Source organism: Homo sapiens, chromosome 1, assembly GCF_000001405.40.
Source record: "Homo sapiens chromosome 1, GRCh38.p14 Primary Assembly".
Lineage (NCBI taxonomy): Eukaryota > Metazoa > Chordata > Mammalia > Primates > Hominidae > Homo > Homo sapiens.
In genome coordinates, this window is record NC_000001.11 from 159,756,280 (window position 1) to 159,774,443 (window position 18,164).

Sequence of the window (18,164 nt, forward strand, 5' to 3'; positions counted from 1 at the left end):
TTCTTCCTAACTGAGAAAGGAGGATTATTTAAACTTTCATTTATAGGAAACTGGCAGGAACCTGTTTAAATGGCCCAAGTAAGTTTTCACCTCTTTAGCAATATCCTACCCATGTGATCAGAGGTTTCCCTATTTCAAGAGGTAATTGCAGAATTTCAGGAAAGCCACCTATTACTAATTGTAACAAATCCATCAATCTCTACAAAGAACAACAGACCTGTCCCTCCAGAGCCCCACTCTTAGGCTTTGCTGGGCTTACTGCTCCATGGATCACCAGGCTCCTGTGGTCACAAGGAGGCTGTAAGAAATGCAAGGCCATCTAAGAGGAAGTTGAGCATGCTGCTGTGTTCCTCAGGGATGTCCTGAAATGCCCCCTGTTTGCAGTGTTGTGAAATGTTGTAGATTCTCTTCCAGAATTTTCTCCTCCATACCAAAGTCTAAAAACTATTTGTTGATAAAGGTTTTAGGCAATTACTTCAGAACATAGCTCCATGTGTTGGGTTTTCTGAGCAGTCAGCTATGTAGAAGCTTCAGTTAGCATTCTTTCTCTCTCTCTCTCTCTCTATCTCTCTCTCTCTCTCTCTCTCTCATCCTTCCCATCCACATTTGCAGGTAGCATGCCCTTGGCAGCGTTGATCCCATAAACAGAATAGTAAGCAACTACTTGCCTGGTGTAATTTGAGATGTGGCACAATCCCCCTGCTCAAAATATCATCCCCACCAAATGCCACAGGGCCTAAAATTCCCAGTATTCAACTCACGGCAGCTAATCTTCTCTTGCTTCACCCCATCATCTCTCCTAATACCTGCACGTGTGAAGCATGTCCATCCTTCCGGGCCTAACTCAACATCACTTTTTCCTGAAGCTTTTGTGATTGCCCAGTTGGAAGTGATCTCTCATTCCTCTGAACATTCAAAAAGCTTCACTTGTGCCGCTTTTATGTTACATATTACTTTATATTTAAACACATGTACTATGTCCCACCAGGCATAATCTGGAGATTCAATTCCTCTGCTGACTCTTATTTATCTTTGTACCACCATCCCATCCTCAAGTAACCAGACCCAGAGCTGACAGTTAATAAAGAATCAGTATCTGACCAATGGGTGCTATATGGGTGAATGAGGAGTAAGACACAGCTTCTCCTGGGCTGAGATTTTGCTGCTCACTAGCTGTGTATACTTCAGCAGTCACTTCAGTTTTCAGAGCCTTATTGTCTTCCTATAAAATAAGGTCATTGAAGAGTTATAAAATTCCAGAGCTCTCTCAGCCATCATTGCTAATCTACTGGATGATCTTACAGCTCACACTGGTTCAGCAAAAGCCCAATATTATTTGCATTCACTTTTGGAAATGGCTTGACAAAATATATACTGTATTAAGGTCTTTAAAAAGGAAAAAGGTAAATTTTTAAAAAACAGTAAGATAAGGCCAAATAAAAAGCAAACACACAGAAATAAATTATTGATGGTCCTATTTACTTACGAAGTAGGACATAAATTTAGCTTTGAGCTTCATAGCAACCAAAGCAAAAATGTATTAAAGTAAAAGTCTATTGATTGCTCAAGAAAATACAGATTTTCCTGTTACTAAATTCAAAAGAAATTGATGTAGTAAACTTTGTACTCAAAAATCCCAACAATGAATATGCCAGAAAGTTTCATAGAACTATTTCCTGCAGTATTCTTTTACAAGAGTGTTCCAGTTATCTATCGCTGCACAACACCAAAATAGTGGCTTAAAGTGACAGCATTGTATATTATTATCTTACTGGGGATAGAGGGGCTAAGCTAAGCAATTCTCACTTACAGTCTCTTACAGAAATGTAGTCACAAAGTGACTGGGTCCGAAGTAACCTGGAGCCTAAGTTAGGAAGATTCAAACAGCTGGAGGCTAGAACAGTTGGTCCTCTTCAGATACCTCTCGAGGTCCCTCCATGTGACTCCAGCATGGCAGTGTTAGAGCAGCTAGAACTCTTACATGAAAGCTCAAGTGCTGAGAGGGAGACAACCAAGCCAACTTTAGCACCTTTTATGAGCTAGCCTCAAAAATCACATAGTATCACTTCTAACACATCCTATTTGCTAGAATCAAGCCACGAAGACCAACCTATATCCAAGGGAAGGGTATTTTAGTCTCCATCTTTTGATGCGGGAGTGAGATCCAAGAAAGTGAGAATATGTTTTAAAACCATGATTAAGGAAAAAATAGAAATTTGCTATTCAATAAATGCTATTCTTTGGAAAGCCAAAGAAGAAATACTTCAGCTTGATTCAGGGATAAAATTTAGAATTACAGAGTTGTGCTGTTCAATATGGAAGCCACTGGCGTGAGTGGCTATTTAAACTTCATTAAAATTAAATAAAACATTTTCAGTACCATTATTTTGTTTTAACAGCCACATTTCAAATGCTCAATAGCCACACATGGCTAGTGACTATTAACGACGGACACACAATTACAGAACATTTCCATCAATGCAGAAAGTTCTATCGAGCAACAGTTACCTAGGATAATGAAAGAACAATATATCCTTAATAGAGGCTGAGGTGTAGGGAGCATTACTTGAGCCCACAAATTCAAGGTTACAGTGAGCTACGATCATGTCACTGCACTCCAACCTGGTGACGGAGCAAGACCTTGTCTCTAAAAAGAAAAAAAAACTATATATTCAGCTGTCAATTAGAACTGCTAAGTCTTCTAATTAAGCTTTTGGTAGGAATTGGGCAAAAGAGATGTCCAAACTGTAACATTTGACAAGACTATGAACTGCATAAAATCTGTGTTGCTAAAAAAAGATAGTCCATATGCCTTAAAAATCAACCAAGTAGGAGGTAGATTCACTTCCCTTAAATAAGACGAAGGTAGGCCTGGGTGGTTGCTGTCAAAATGGGCAAGTTCATAAAACCTGGGAAAGTAGTGTTGGTCCAGGCCAGACACTACACCGGATGCTACTCTGGATGCAAAACCATCATCGTGAAGAACATTGATGATGGCACCTTAGAATGCCCCGTCAGCTGTTCTCTGGTGGCTGGAATTGACTGTTATCCTTGCAAGGTGACAGCTGCCATGGGCAAGAAGAGCACCCAGAGGTCAAAGACCAAGTCTTTTGTGAAAGTTTATAACTACAATCATCTCATGCCCACAAGGCACTCTGTGGATACCCCCTTGGACAAAACTGTCATCAACAAGGATGTCTTCAGAGACCCTGCTCTTAAACACAAGGCCCAAAGGAAGGCCAAAGTCAAAATCAAAGAGAGGTAAAACCTGGGCAAGAACAAGTGGCTCTTCCAAAAGCTGTGGTTTTAGATGTTTTGTTTTGGTCATTAAAAATTTAAAAAATAAGTCAGGTAGTGTGATGCCTCCAGCTTTGTTCTTTTGGCTTAGGATTGACTTGGCAATGCAGGCTCTTTTTTGGTTCCATATGAACTTTAAAGTAGTTTTTTCCAATTCTGTGAAGAAAGGCATTGGTAGCTTGATGGGGATGGCATTGAATCTGTAAATTACCTTGGGCAGTATGGCCATTTTCACGATATTGATTCTTCCTACCCATGAGCATGGAATGTTCTTCCATTTGTTTGTATCCTCTTTTATCTCCTTGAGCAGTGGTTTGTAGTTCTCCTTGAAGAGGTCCTTCACATCCCTTGTAAGTTGGATTCCTAGGTATTTTATTCTCTCTGAAGCAATTGTGAATGGGAGTTCACTCATGATTTGGCTCTCTGTTTGTCTGTTGTTGGTGTATAAGAATGCTTGTGATTTTTGTACATTGATTTTGTATCCTGAGACTTTGCTGAAGTTGCTTATCAGCTTAAGGAGATTTTGGGCTGAGACAATGGGGTTTTCTAGATATACAATCATGTCGTCTGCAAACAGGGACAATTTGACTTCCTCTTTTCCTAATTGAATACCCTTTATTTCCTTCTCCTGCCTAATTGCCCTGGCCAGAACTTCCAACACTATGTTGAATAGGAGTGGTGAGAGAGGGCATCCCTGTCTTGTGCCAGTTTTCAAAGGGAATGCTTCCGGTTTTTGCCCATTCAGTATGATATTGGCTGTGTGTTTGTCATAGATAGCTCTTATTATTTTGAAATACGTCCCATCAATACCTAATTTATTGAGAGTTTTTAGCATGAAGGGTTGTTGAATTTTGTCAAAGGCTTTTTCTGCATCTATTGAGATAATCATGTGGTTTTTGTCTTTGGTTCTGTTTATATGCTGGATTACATTTATTGATTTGTGTATATTGAACCAGCCTTGCATCCCAGGGATGAAGCCCACTTGATCATGGTGGATAAGCTTTTTGATGTGCTGCTGGATTCGGTTTGCCAGTATTTTATTGAGGATTTGTGCATCAATGTTCATCAAGGATATTGGTCTAAAATTCTCTTTTTTGGTTGTGTCTCTGCCCTGCTTTGGTATCACAATGATGCTGGCCTTATAAAATGAGTTAGGGAGGATTCCCTCTTTTTCTATTGATTGGAATAGTTTCAGAAGGAATGGTACCAGTTCCTCCTTGTACCTCTGGTAGAATTCGACTGTGAATCCATCTGGTCCTGGACTCTTTTTGGTTGGTAAGGTATTGATTATTGCCACAATTTCAGATCCTGTTATTGGTCTATTCAGAGATTCAACTTCTTCCTGGTTTAGTCTTGGGAGAGTGTATGTGTCGAGGAATTTATCCATTTCTTCTAGATTTTCTAGTTTATTTGCATAGAGGTGTTTGTAGTATTCTCTGATGGTAGTTTGTATTTCTGTGGGATCGGTGGTGATATGCCCTTTATCATTTTTTATTGCGTCTATTTGATTCTTCTCTCTTTTTTTCTTTATTAGTCTTGCTAGCAGTTTATCAATTTTGTTGATCCTTTCAAAAAACCAGCTCCTGGATTCATTAATTTTTTGAAGGGTTTTTTGTGTCTCTATTTCCTTCAGTTCTGCTCTGATCTTAGTTATTTCTTGCCTTCTGCCAGCTTTTGAATGTGTTTGCTCTTCCTTTCCTAGTTCTTTTAATTGTGATGTTAGGGTGTCAACTTTGGATCTTTCCTGCTTTCTCTTGTGGGCATTTAGTGCTATAAATTTCCCTCTACACACTGCTTTGAATGCGTCCCAGAGATTCTGGTATGTTGTGTCTTTGTTCTCGTTGGTTTCAAAGAACATCTTTATTTCTGCCTTCATTTCGTTATGTACCCAGTAGTCATTACTACAAGGCTACAGTAACCAAAACAGCATGGTACTGGTACCAAAACAGAGATATAGATCAATGAAACAGAACAGAGCCCTCAGAAATAACTCTGCTTATCTACAACTATCTGATCTTTGACAAACCTGAGAAAAACAAGCAATGGGGAAAGGATTCCCTATTTAATAAATGGTGCTGGGAAAACTGGCTAGCCATATGTAGAAAGCTGAAACTGGATCCCTTCCTTACACCTTATACAAAAATCAATTCAAGATGGATTAAAGACTTAAACATTAGACCTAAAACCATAAAAACCCTAGAAGAAAACCTAGACATTACCATTCAGGACATAGGCATGGGCAAGGACTTCATGTCTAAAACACCAAAAGCAATGGCAACAAAAGACAAAATTGACAAATGGGATCTAATTAAACTAAAGAGCTTCTGCACAGCAAAAGAAACTACCATCAGAGTGAACAGGCAACCTACAAAATGGGAGAAAATTTTCGCAACCTACTCATCTGACAAAGGGCTAATATCCAGAATCTACAATGAACTCAAACAAATTTACAAGAAAAAAACAAACAACCCCATCAAAAAGTGGGCGAAGGACATGAACAGACACTTCTCAAAAGAAGACATTTATGCAGCCAACAAACACATGAAAAAATGCTCATCATCACTGGCCATCAGAGAAATGCAAATCAAAACCACAATGAGATACCATCTCACACCTGTTAGAATGGCAATCATTAAAAAGTCAGGAAACAACAGGTGCTGGAGAGGATGTGGAGAAATAGGAACACTTTTACACTGTTGGTGGGACTGTAAACTAGTTCAACCATTGTGGAAGTCAGTGTGGCAATTCCTCAGGGATCTAGAACTAGAAATACCATTTGACCCAGCCATCCCATTACTGGGTATATACCCAAAGGACTATAAATCATGCTGCTATAAAGACACATGCACACGTATGTTTATTGTGACATTATTCACAATAGCAAAGACTTGGAACCAACCCAAATGTCCAACAATGATAGACTGGATTAAGAAAATGTGGCACATATACACCATGGAATACTATGCAGCCATAAAAAATGATGAGTTCATGTCCTTTGTAGGGACATGGATGAAATTGGAAATCATCATTCTCAGTAAACTATCGCAAGAATAAAAAACCAAACACTGCATATTCTCACTCATAGGTGGGAATTGAACAATGAGATCACAAGGACACAGGAAGGGGAATATCACACTCTGGGGACTGTTGTTGGGCGGGGGGAGAGGGGAGGGATAGCATTGGGAGATATACCTAATGCTAGATGACGAGTTAGTGGGTGCAGTGCACCAGCATGGCACATGTATACATATGTAACTAACCTGCACAATGTGCACATGTACCCTAAAACTTAAAGTATAATTTAAAAAAAAAGAAATATGTAAAAAAAAAAAAAAATTTAAAAAATAAAAATAAAAAAAGGAAGTCGAAAAATGAAGGCTCCTAACCAAGAGCCAAATGGCTGGCCACCTTGCCTCCATGTGGGGGTTTTCAGTGGAGGACCTGTCAGTAAGGGCAAAATTTTCCTCCAGTCTTTCACACACTGTTTTCTCAAAACATTTGGGGGAAAGAAAGATAAAATCAAAGCTACAAAGTTCATTCCCTCACTCTTTAATTCAACATTTACTGAGTAGGCATGGATGCTACGACTTGTATCTGAAAAAAAAATGAAATAGATTTTACTAATCTCCCAAGCCTCAGAAATAAACAAACAAATGTCAATAACATGCCCAAGGAATATCTACTTTTAAGTAGCGTCTTTCTACTGAAACCACCAGAGAAAAATAGTTGCAAAACGTACCCTTAAGTAGCTGAAAGAGTCGGCCAGCTATATATAATCTTTAGATATAAGCCAATTAAATTACAAATACTATCTGCCAAAAATGATGATTTTGAATATAGAAAAGTTGAATTCAAGCCACTCTATTTTCCAGTAAGATAAAGAGGCCATTTCTTGTTAGTGACAATAAAATTACATCACTAGCATAGACAGTAGTTATTTTTGTACTTTTTATAATAAGGGTATATGCAGCTAGATCATGCACAAGTTGTTTCAAATTATTAAGATACAAATTAAAAAGAAGAGTTGGAGGAAGCAGAGGCAGAACACAGTTTCATTTTTTAAAGACTGGAATTATCTGATCTGTCAGGAAACCATTCTCAGGAACACTTTTTGTGGTATAAAGTTCAGACTCTACATCAGTTACCAGATCTTACAGCCCAGCTGCATTACATATCTTCTCCTTCACCCTCCCCACCCTCTCTCCACCTTTTACCCTGCTCTGTGCCTCAGGAGGCTGACTTGAATGGGCTGCATCAATGGGCTCCCTCTACTTAGCCCTTCTAAAGGAGTTCAGCCAACGGGAGGCACCCACAGGAGATTAGAGACTGGGAGAATAGGAAGTTAGAGAATTTAACCCCCAGCTTCCTCCCTACTGGGCCACCATGGGTTGGCTGCATTCCTCACCCAAATGCTGATGTCAAGCAGATCTCTTCATATGGCCCCACTCTCCAAATCCCAGTAACCCCTCACTTCCTTTGATTTTTCACCCATGAATTGCAGTGGCTCCCTGCTATTATTGCTAGCCTAAGGAACTATACCCACCTCTCGTAGGTTTTCTTCAACTCTGCCTGTACCTTTGTATCTAGTTCCTTTTTTCTTTTTCTTTCCTTTTTTATTATTTTATTTTTTTCTTTTTAGAAGGAGTCTGTCTCTGTCGCCCAGGCTGGAGTGCAGTGGTGCGATATCGACTCACTGCAACCTCCCGCCTCCCAGATTCAACTGATTCTCATGCCTCAGCCTCCCGAGGAGCTGGGATTACAGGCACACACCACCATACGTGGCTAATTTTTGTATTAATACTTTTAGTAGAGACGGAGTTTCACATGTTGGCCAGGTTGGTCTCGAACCCCTGACCTCAAGTGATCTGCCCGTCTCGGCCTCCCAAAGTGCTGGGATTATAAGCGTGAGCCACTGCACCTGGCCTGTATATAGTTCCTTTCATTAAAATCTGCTTAGTTACTCGATTCGTGTGCACTGTTTCTTTATAAGCCCTGATGATACACGAATTCATTACTAGTTTTTAATGCCCAGAGACCAAAGAAAGATCAATTAAATATATAAGCAATCTTAAAGTTATTCCTGAAAGATTTTTCCAGCACATCATAAAGGGTATAACATGATTAATAATGGAATATTATACCTAAATCCAACCTGTTCCTCAGGAAATATTAAGGAAAAAAATGAGAACTATAATTTATGAAAAACGTTTAAATGAAAAGTCTGCCAAAATAATGACTCCATGATTTCATAGAGCAATATTGTCCTTTTAAAAAGAAACAAGGGGCAGGAAAGTTTAACCAGACAAAATTAATAAGAGTAAACAAATTAGCTCTCAATTAGAGCAGAACTTGAGTAGTTTGGGTGGTAAGAAGTCTTTGTAATCAACAGCAGTACATGAGAAGTAATATCAGGATGCAATCAGCAAATAGACTTATTATCCCAAAGATAGGTGAAGTTGTTCTGGAGTTAAGTCTCTGAAGCTACCCTGGCCCTTACCACTGCAGTGCAGTGAGTGAACAAAATTCTTAAAGTCAGGCAAATCTGCTTTTAAATATCCAAGTCAAAACCATTTACAAAGTGAAGGAAATAATATTTCCAATGTAGAGTAGTCATAAGGATTAAATAGAAAAATACATATAAAATACGGCTGGGCGTGGTGGCTCACGCCTGTAATCCCAGCACTTTGGGAGGCCGAGGCAGGTGGATCACGAGGTCAGGAGATCGAGACCATCCTGGCTAACACGGTGAAACCCCGTCTCTACTAAAAATACAAAAAATTAGCTGGGCGTGGTGGCGGGCGCCTGTAGTCCCAGCTACTCGGGAGGCTGAGGCAGGAGAATGGCGTGAACCAGGGACGCGGAGCTTGCAATGAGCCAAGACTGCGCCACTGCACTCCAACCTGGGCGACAGAGCGAGACTCTGTCTCAAAAAAACAAAAAAAAAAAGAAAGAAAAATACATATAAAATACCTAGCCCAGTGCCTGATTTGTTCAAGTCATTAAGAAACGGAAAGTCAAAAAGAAATCCAACAGAAGGAAACCAAAGACTTACATTCCAAGACCAGCCTGAAAATCAGCAAGTAGATTAGAAATATATGTGAAGGAATAGGTTGACAAAGTGTCCCAGCCAGGCTTCTGTGGGTCATGTAGATTTCGAGGACCTCTATAGTGGATGAATTCCTTTCTCAAATTCCCTTCTGTAAGAAATAATCACCTAAGAGAATTTTCTCCTTCTCTGTCCCGGAAGATCTCCAGCTTTCCTTCTTTTTCTTGCACTTTATGTTTCAGGTTAATTAACGCTTTCCCCAATGTACATACTGATCATTTCTTGCTATCACAAACTATCCTAGAGGCCAGCATAGTTCAAACAGGTACTGGACTGAAGTAGACACACCATTGGCAAGTGGGTGCCCTTCCAGCTGGCTGGAAAGTTTTCTGGCACTTTGTTCCAGGAGTGTCCTGAGTGCAGTGCCCAGCCAGGTCCTCTGCTCAGTCTTTTGAGATCATCCCATCTGAGTGACTAAACATTGCCTTTGGGTGGGTGGGCCACACCCAGGACCCGGAAGTAAGATCATCATTTCCTCACAAAAGGGAATGCTTTTTCCTTCCATTCTATTCTTTGTGTTATGCCACAGACACATGACTGACCCTAAAATTCATATTTTAACAGCAATCTCTAAGATATAAAGATTCTTCAGCAGGACCTTAAGGAAGTGGGAGTGAGGACAAAGTGTTTGGACATATGAGAGAGGAAGAGTGTTCCAAAAACTAAGACACTTCACAATGTGTTGGATAGTCCCATGAAAGCACATGTGAGAGAACCTTGAAGACTAATCAATTCAGAAATTCCAGCCCCTCCTTGGAGTTGGTTTACAGACCATGCAAACGTAGTCCCAGTTCCCCGAGTTTTCCTGATTCTGGAGTTGCTGTTTCATAGATCCTCAAGAGGAAATTCCTAGTAGACTCCTCAATAAAATATTACATGGTGAAGAGAAAGAACACAAGTAAAAGGGATCAACATGTAGCAAACACCTACTATGTGCCAGGCATTGCACAGCATTTTTTACATGTTATCTCAGTCAATCCTGATAGTAACCCCATCAAATAGACAGTGTAAGCCCCATTTCACAGGTAAAAATGAAAAGACTCTGAGAAGTTAGGTAACTTACTTAAAATTAAATTGTAGAACAAGAATTCGCACCAGATCTTCCTGTTTTGTAGCCCATTCACATTTCATTCTGCCACACATTCATCAAGGACGTCATCTATTTCTCGGCATCTTTACATGTAGCTATAAAACCCTGTAACACATTCTGTTTATTCTGGAATAGGCTCTTCATCTGTTACACAAGTTGCCGAAAGTGTCAATGACTTTTAGAAATCAGATAACCCAAATGTATAGTATCCTCCATTCTACTATTTTCTACATGTAACTGGATGCTTGACAATGAACACCTGTATCAGTTGTCTGCCATTGCATAATAAACCAATATAAAGTTAGCTGCTTACAACAACTATTTATTATATATCATGATTCTGTGAGTCATTTGGGCCATTCTTCCATTGGTCTTACATGAGCCTACTCACAAAGCTGCATTTAGCTGGTAGGTTACCTGGGGATAGGTAGAGCTTGAGGCCACAGGGCCTCTCTCTACACATGGTCTTTCATAACAAGCTTTTTTACAACATGGTGATCTCAGGGCAGCTTCCAAGATAACAAGCCTCAAAGTGCTAGCATTTTACAAGCTTATGTCCCAAGCCTTTGGCCAAACCCCAAATCATTATGGGAGGGGGCTAGGGACATGAATACCATGAGGCAAAATTCACTGAGGATCATTATTGTAACAATGTACCGCAGCTGGCTCTCTGATCCCAATGACTGACATCCCTCCCATTGCAAAATGCATCACTCATCCCAAAACCACCAAAGATCTCATCCAATCATGGCATCAAACTACAAGTCCAGACTCCTTATCTATCTCAGGTCCAGGTGTGGCTGAGGCTACTTGGGTGCAGTTCCTCATGCAGCTCCACAGGTGTGGCTTCTCCTCATTCAGGAACCCATGAATTTAAAAAAAAAAAAAAGTTATTGTCTCCATGCATACTCATCACACAATTGTGAGAATGGTACACTCAATGGATACTCCCATTTAAAAGGGGGAGGAACAGAAAGCCACAAAGCCTTCTGATCCATAGCAATTCTGAAATCCAGTCATAAGTGTGGGGAAAAGCAGGAGAGATCAGATTGTTACTGTGTCTGTGTAGAAAGAAGTAGACATAGGAGACTCCATTTTGTTCTGTACTAAGAAAAATTCTTCTGCCTTGAGATTCTGTTAATCTATGACCTTACCCCCAACCCCCTGCTCTCTGAAACATGTGCTGTGTCAACTCAGGGTTAAATGGATTAAGGGCGGTGCAAGATGTGCTTTGTTAAACAAATGCTTGTAGGCAGCATGCTCCTTAAGAGTCATCACCACTCCCTAATCTCAAGTACCCAGGGACACAAACACTGCAGAAGGCCACAGGGACCTCTGCCTAGGAAAGCCAGGTATTGTCCAAGGTTTCTCCCCATGTGAAAGTCTGAAATATGGCCTCATGGGAAGGGAAAGACCTGACCATCCCCCAGCCCGACACCCGTAAAGGGTCTGTGCTGAGGAGGATTAGTATGAGAGGAAGGCATGCCTCTTGCAGTTGAGGCAAGAGGAAGGCATCTGTCTCCTGCCCGTCCCCGGGCAATGGAATGTCTCGGTATAAAACCCGATTGTACGTTCCATCTACTGAGATAGGAAAAAACCACCTTAGGGCTGGAGGTGGGACATGCAGGCAGCAATACTGCTTTGTAAAGCATTGAGATGTTTATGTGTATGCATATCTAAAAGCACAGCACTTAATCCTTTACCTTGTCTATGATACAAAGACCTTTGTTCACGTGTTTGTCTGCTGACCCTCTCCCCACTATTGTCTTGTGACCATGACACATCCCCCTCTCGGAGAAACACCCACAAATGATCAATAAATACTAAGGGAACTCAGAGGCTGGCGAGATCCTCCATATGCTGAACGCTGGTTCCCCGGGTCCCCTTATTTCTTTCTCTATACTTTGTCTCTGTGTCTTTTTCTTTTCCAAGTCTCTCATTCCACCTTACGAGAAACACCCACAGGTGTGGAGGGGCAACCCACCCCTTCACATAAGTATATTGCAGGACCTTCTACTCTAGGTATAGAAAACGGTTCTTGAATACAGCCTGGTTTACCTACTTCTACTCTCTGGAAGTGGTTGCCTCTGCTTTCTCCAAGATGACCCATGTTTTCAATAAAAATAGCCTGTGTGTGCAGCTGAGTGATTTTCTCATCTTACCTCCTGTTTCTATTTATTTTGAACTTCCTGTACATTAGTTAGTCTAAACTAATCCAATACCTTTCTATGTGGGCTTTCTATATGCCAGGTGATAGTCCACTTGACTAGACAAAAGCTATACCCACAACTATTTTTGAGATAGGCCTCTACTTTGGTTCAGTATGTCAATGTGCCGTGGAAAAAATGCCCTTAAAATTCTTAAAAGCCACTTTGCCTAGCTGAGAGAATCTAATAGTCACTATTTTAAATCATTCTGTGGTCTTAAGAAAGTCTTGTAGCCACACCCTTGATTTAATTTGTACCCTGAGAACATTTCTAACTTTGAGAATCTTTTGGCAGTAGGAGAGACTGGAAATGTGAGACAGTTTTATTTCTCACCTAGCGTATCCTGGGCACTCCATATTTGCTTTAAATTCTGCTTGCAAATGGAGCAATTCATTTTTTTTTTTTTTTGGTTCATCTCTCTCTTCCTATACCCTATTATCTATCACCTTTAAAAAGCTAATTGGCCCCTTCAGCATTCTAAATGGAAACTTCCTTAAGCCAAATCTACAAGTTAATTAAGTACATTTTTTATCTTCCAAGTTTCTGAAGATGACAGTGTTGCCAGTTATTCTACTACTATATAATGTGATTTGCCCTTTATCAGCCTCCAGTAGCAGTTTCCTCTCAGGTCCTCAGGCTCCACTAATAATCTACTCGCTGCACCTACTGCCTCTTCCAGCCACTCAACCCCAAAGCCAATGCCACATAGTTTAGCTTTTTGTTACAGCAACATACCATTTCTGGGTATAAATTTTTATATCTGGCCGGGCACGTTGGCTCACGACTGTAATCCCAGAACTTTGGGAGGCCGAGGCAGGCGGATCACCTGAGATCAGGAGTTCGAGACCAGCCTGGCCAACATGACAAAACCCTGTCTCTAATAAAAATACAAAAATTAGCCAGTCATGGTGGCAGACGCCTGTAATCCCAGCTACTCAGGAGGCTGAGGCAGGATAATCGGATAATCACTTGAATCTGGAGAGTGGAGGTTGCAGTGAGCTGGGATCGCGCCACTATCTCAGCCTGGGCCACAGCAAGACTCCATCTCAAAAAAAAAAAAAAAAAAAAAAAATATATATATATATATATATATATATATATATATATATATATATATATATATATATAAAATCAGTTTTCCATTCCTATGAAGTAAATGACCATATATATATATATATATACACACACACATATATAGAGAGAGATAGATATAGATATAGATATAGATCAGTTTTCCATTCCTATGAAGTAAATGACCCCAAAATTTAGTGGCTTAACAGCAATTTCTATTTCTCATGATTCTGTGAGTTAGCTGGGTCACTCTTCTACTGGTCATACCTAGGATCATTCATGCAGCTGCATCCAGCTTGGGGACTGGGCTCAACTGGCCTCTCCTACCATACGGTATATAATTCAGGGCTTCTTTATAGCATAAAGGTCTTAGGGTTCCAAGATGACAAGACCCAACATGCAAGTGCTTATCATACCTCTGCTTCTATCACATTTGTTTTATTTTATTTCATTTTATTTTATTTTATTTTATTTTATTTTATTTTATTTTATTTTATTTTATTTTTTGAGATGGAGTTTCACTCTTGTTGCCCAGGCTGGAGAGCAGTGGTACAGTCTTGGCTCACTGCAACCTCTGCCTCCCGGTTTCAAGCAATTCTCCTGCCTCAGCCTCCCAAGTAGCTGGGATTACAGGCATGTGCCATCACGCCCGGCTAATTTTGTATTTTTAGTAGAGATGGGGTTTCACCATGTTGGTCAGGCTAGTCTCAAACTCCTGATCTCAAGTGATCCACCTGCCTTGGCCTCCCAAAGTGCTGAAATTACAGGCATGAGCCACCGCGTCTGGCCCACATTTGTTTATATCACGTTAGCCAAAGCAAGTACAAGGCTGAGTCCAGTACAAATGTAGGAGAGGCATGTATAAGGGTGTGGATACTAGGAGGTGTAATCCATTCAGGTCATTGCTATAACAATCTGCTCCAAAACCAAAATGTAAGTTTCATGCTTTTATCTGCATCTTTAGTCAAGTATATAGCCCAATATTTTGTTCACTTGGACTTAATTGGCATGTTTGTTTAATTGAATTAAAGAGGTAGAAAGTTTTAGAAACACAAGGACCAGAAAGGCTGAAACTATTATAGTTTTGGAAAGCCAAAAGACTATAGAGCAAAGCTAACCATTAAAAAACATTTTCTCACCATTTTTCCATATTCTTGTGAATCAAATATGTTTTCTGACCAAAGGGATTTAGGGTATCATAATTTTCAAATAAATGACTGACTCATCAACCTTGTCTCTGTTATGGTCATAGCTATTCCAGAAATAAATTCCATGTGAATTTGCAAATTTTCTCATCCTAAATAACTGTTTGAACATCTGAATAATCACACAATGTAGATTCCTCCGTATTTGCACAAGAGAAAAAGAATTAAATAGAATTACTGGCATTTCAAACCCAGTATTTGAATTTTGCTAAGATTAGACGCTAGACTTGATTTGTCTTTCCCATCTGAGGATATAGGTATATTTAGTTTTTCACTAAAATAAAGAGAATCATGGCTGTGTTTTAATGGCCTCAAAGGTTCTTTTCCTAACAGTCATTTTCTCCAGAAGAGGTTGAGGTTTTTCATCAACAGTAGTGGATAATGATGAGCACATTTTGAAACTGACTAATGATTAATGATATCTTCCTTTCAAGGATTGATAGACCATAAAACTCTGCACTAAAGGACACATTCTTCCCTTGCTACCAATTTTGAGTCTAAGAATCCAGGTATGTTTGCACTATTTTTTCCCATGAAGCAGAATATCCCATCAAAGTGTAACAAGGGGATTCACTGAGAACTCAATTTGCATGTGGTGGTTTTTTTATTTTGTTCTGTTCTGTTTTGTCTATTTGCTTGCTTGTAATACAACTACCCCTCTGCCTAAGTTTCCAGTTCTAGCAAATGATGTTCCTACCCCAACGTAGGGGACAGGAGGGGTTCCTGAACCTATTTTTTGGGACCAGATGGGGCCAGTAATGCATTCTCTATTTGAAACTCCTGCTACCAATTGGTCCTGATAAGTATGTGCAGCCTATTGTGATGCTGATGATAACAATAGCCAGTGTTTATTGATCCCTCACTGTGCCAAGCATTGTTCAAAGCACTTTATAGTATTAACTCATTTAATCGTCACAATTCTCTGAGGTAGGCATTATGATTTATTTCTACTTTATAGAGAAGGGCACTGAGGTGTAAAGCAATTTATTCGGGGTTAAATAGTTTCAAATGGCAGAGCCAGGATTTGAACCCACCACCAACTCTATTGCTTCAAAGACGCTGGGCTCAAGCAGAATTCAGAATTTTTTCCTACATCTGTGTCCTTGGGACTGTATCCTCAGTAGGAAGTCACTGATACTCACAGGCTTCGATGTTAGTTGACCTATCTGACTTTCTGATGCTTTGCACAAATTGTTAATAGAAAGGCAATTATCAATGACATCTCAGCCTAGATTGTCTCCTTGATTGTTGGGGAGACTATATTATCCTAGAATCCAAATGGGATTTCTACCCAGGCCACTATCTGTGCTGATATGTCATGGCCTCCAACCCCACAAAGCTTGAACTCTCATGTGCCACGTGCCCTCCCTAGTCACCACCACCATGTCCCACCCTTACACACAGTCAATCCAAATGTGTTTCCTGAGGGTGTACTGTATGTCAGGCTCATAGTATACACAGAAGATAGACCCACATACTGGGAGCTTTCATTCCCAACAGCCCAGACTTCCAATTTGAGAAACATGATTACTTTGGGGAAACACCAACCTGGAAGTCATTGGTGGGGAGAAATGTTTTAGGAAAGATTCAGACTAAACCACCTTTGTAGTCCCTTCCAACCCCACCCCCATCCTCTTAATTTCTCTGTAAGGCAAGCATTTATTAGTTTGATTTCAACACACACACTTGTACCTGTAATTACTATATAATGTCTGTTTACTTTTTTAAATGAAAATGAATTTAAATTAATCTTGTTTTGTGAATTTCAAGTCACCCCCTGAGATAAATGAAGACACTCCAGGGTGTCATCAAACCAGTGCTGGGAATCCTACTCTACAAAGTAGAGAAGAGAGCTCATTAAACCTCGAAGGAGCCAGAGGGGAGACATGTATATAGACATAGAGCACACTAAAAAGAGAGTTTTATATGTGCATTATACACACACACAAATACACGTGAAAGGTGGTACACCAAAATGTGGTTATCTTTAGGTGACTTGTTCCTCGTAAACTTAATATGAATGCCATTCATGACTAAGCTCTCTGCACCAGAGAGGAGATCCTGGGAGCAACATTTCCAAAATCCTTCCCATAGATCTTGAGTGCCAATGAGAGGCACCTGTGTAAGATCTGGAACGAAAAGAGAGACCATCGTTTGCCAGAGATAGGTAAGTGCAGAGGCAGATGAGAGGCTGAAAACAGCGTCCAGGTGAATTTCTTGGGATCCCCCCACATGAGTGCTGGAGTCTGAGATCATTGGTGGGAATTTCCCGGAAGTTCCTGAGACTTACAGTGGAATTGCTTCCAGGCAAGATCTTAAAGAGAATCTCATTTAGATGTTACCAGCTCAGATCATCTGGTACCTTTGCTACTCAGCCCACCTGCCAGGTATGTAAACCTTGAATTTCTCATATTGCTTCCTTTCATACTAGGAGAGCATAGAATGGCTTCTCCTTTCCTAATCAAACACCAACTAATATAAATAGGTAATAGGTGATGATTTTTAACATTTTGCATGTGTATGTGTTTTAATGCTTTTACAATAAACATATTATAATATAGCAATAAAAGCTTTAATATGTGTTTAATATATAATGTCATAAATATTCTAATACACATGCTGCAGAAGCTCAGAAGAGGGACACAAAACATGAATTGGAGCAGGGAAAGCTTCCTAGAGAAAGTGGTCTCTTTTCCCAAAGTGAAACTTAAGGAAGTTGAGATGTTGCTGCAGGCCAAAGGTAAGAGCAGGGCAGGAAAAAGGCACAGCATGGGCACAGGCACATAGGAGAGCTCTGCTCCTCTGACTGACTACACATTGTTCATTGTGACAAGACAAACACTTCTGCAGAGGAATGAGGTAAGGTGAGGCTGAAGGAAAAAGCAAGAGGCCTCATCCTGGAGGGCTTGATATACCAGTCTATAAATCTTGGGGGTTTGTTCTTGAAGACAATAAGGAGTTATTGAAGAACTGGAAAAGTAACATCCATGCTCTGTAAAAGTCTCTGCAGGTTCACAGAGGGGAAATGTGTAGAGGCCGGAATACAGGAGGCCAGTCCAGGGATCCACAGAGATGATGGGTCCTAAGGAGGTTTTGGGGGATGGGATTTGGGTGGGAAGAAGGTCTGCTACAGAGGGGAAAGGAGGGCTTGTGTGAAAAAAGGTTGTCCATGGTGCCTTCTTTCCCCT

At 40.3% G+C, this 18,164-nt stretch overlaps 1 pseudogene, besides 2 other annotated features; it reads left to right on the forward strand.

Annotated features, from left to right (window-relative positions):
* Positions 2,865-3,341, forward strand: RPL27P2 (ribosomal protein L27 pseudogene 2; annotated as a pseudogene).
* Positions 11,350-12,303: an enhancer, noted in NCBI's record as "NANOG-H3K27ac hESC enhancer chr1:159737419-159738372 (GRCh37/hg19 assembly coordinates)". NCBI's record gives its function as "activates a minimal SCP1, AML or CMV promoter by ChIP-STARR-seq in naive and primed H9 embryonic stem cells {active_cell/tissue: H9 hESC(naive and primed)}" and the evidence as "EXISTENCE:reporter gene assay evidence [ECO:0000049][PMID:30033119]".
* Positions 12,304-13,257: an enhancer, noted in NCBI's record as "NANOG-H3K27ac hESC enhancer chr1:159738373-159739326 (GRCh37/hg19 assembly coordinates)". NCBI's record gives its function as "activates a minimal SCP1, AML or CMV promoter by ChIP-STARR-seq in naive and primed H9 embryonic stem cells {active_cell/tissue: H9 hESC(naive and primed)}" and the evidence as "EXISTENCE:reporter gene assay evidence [ECO:0000049][PMID:30033119]".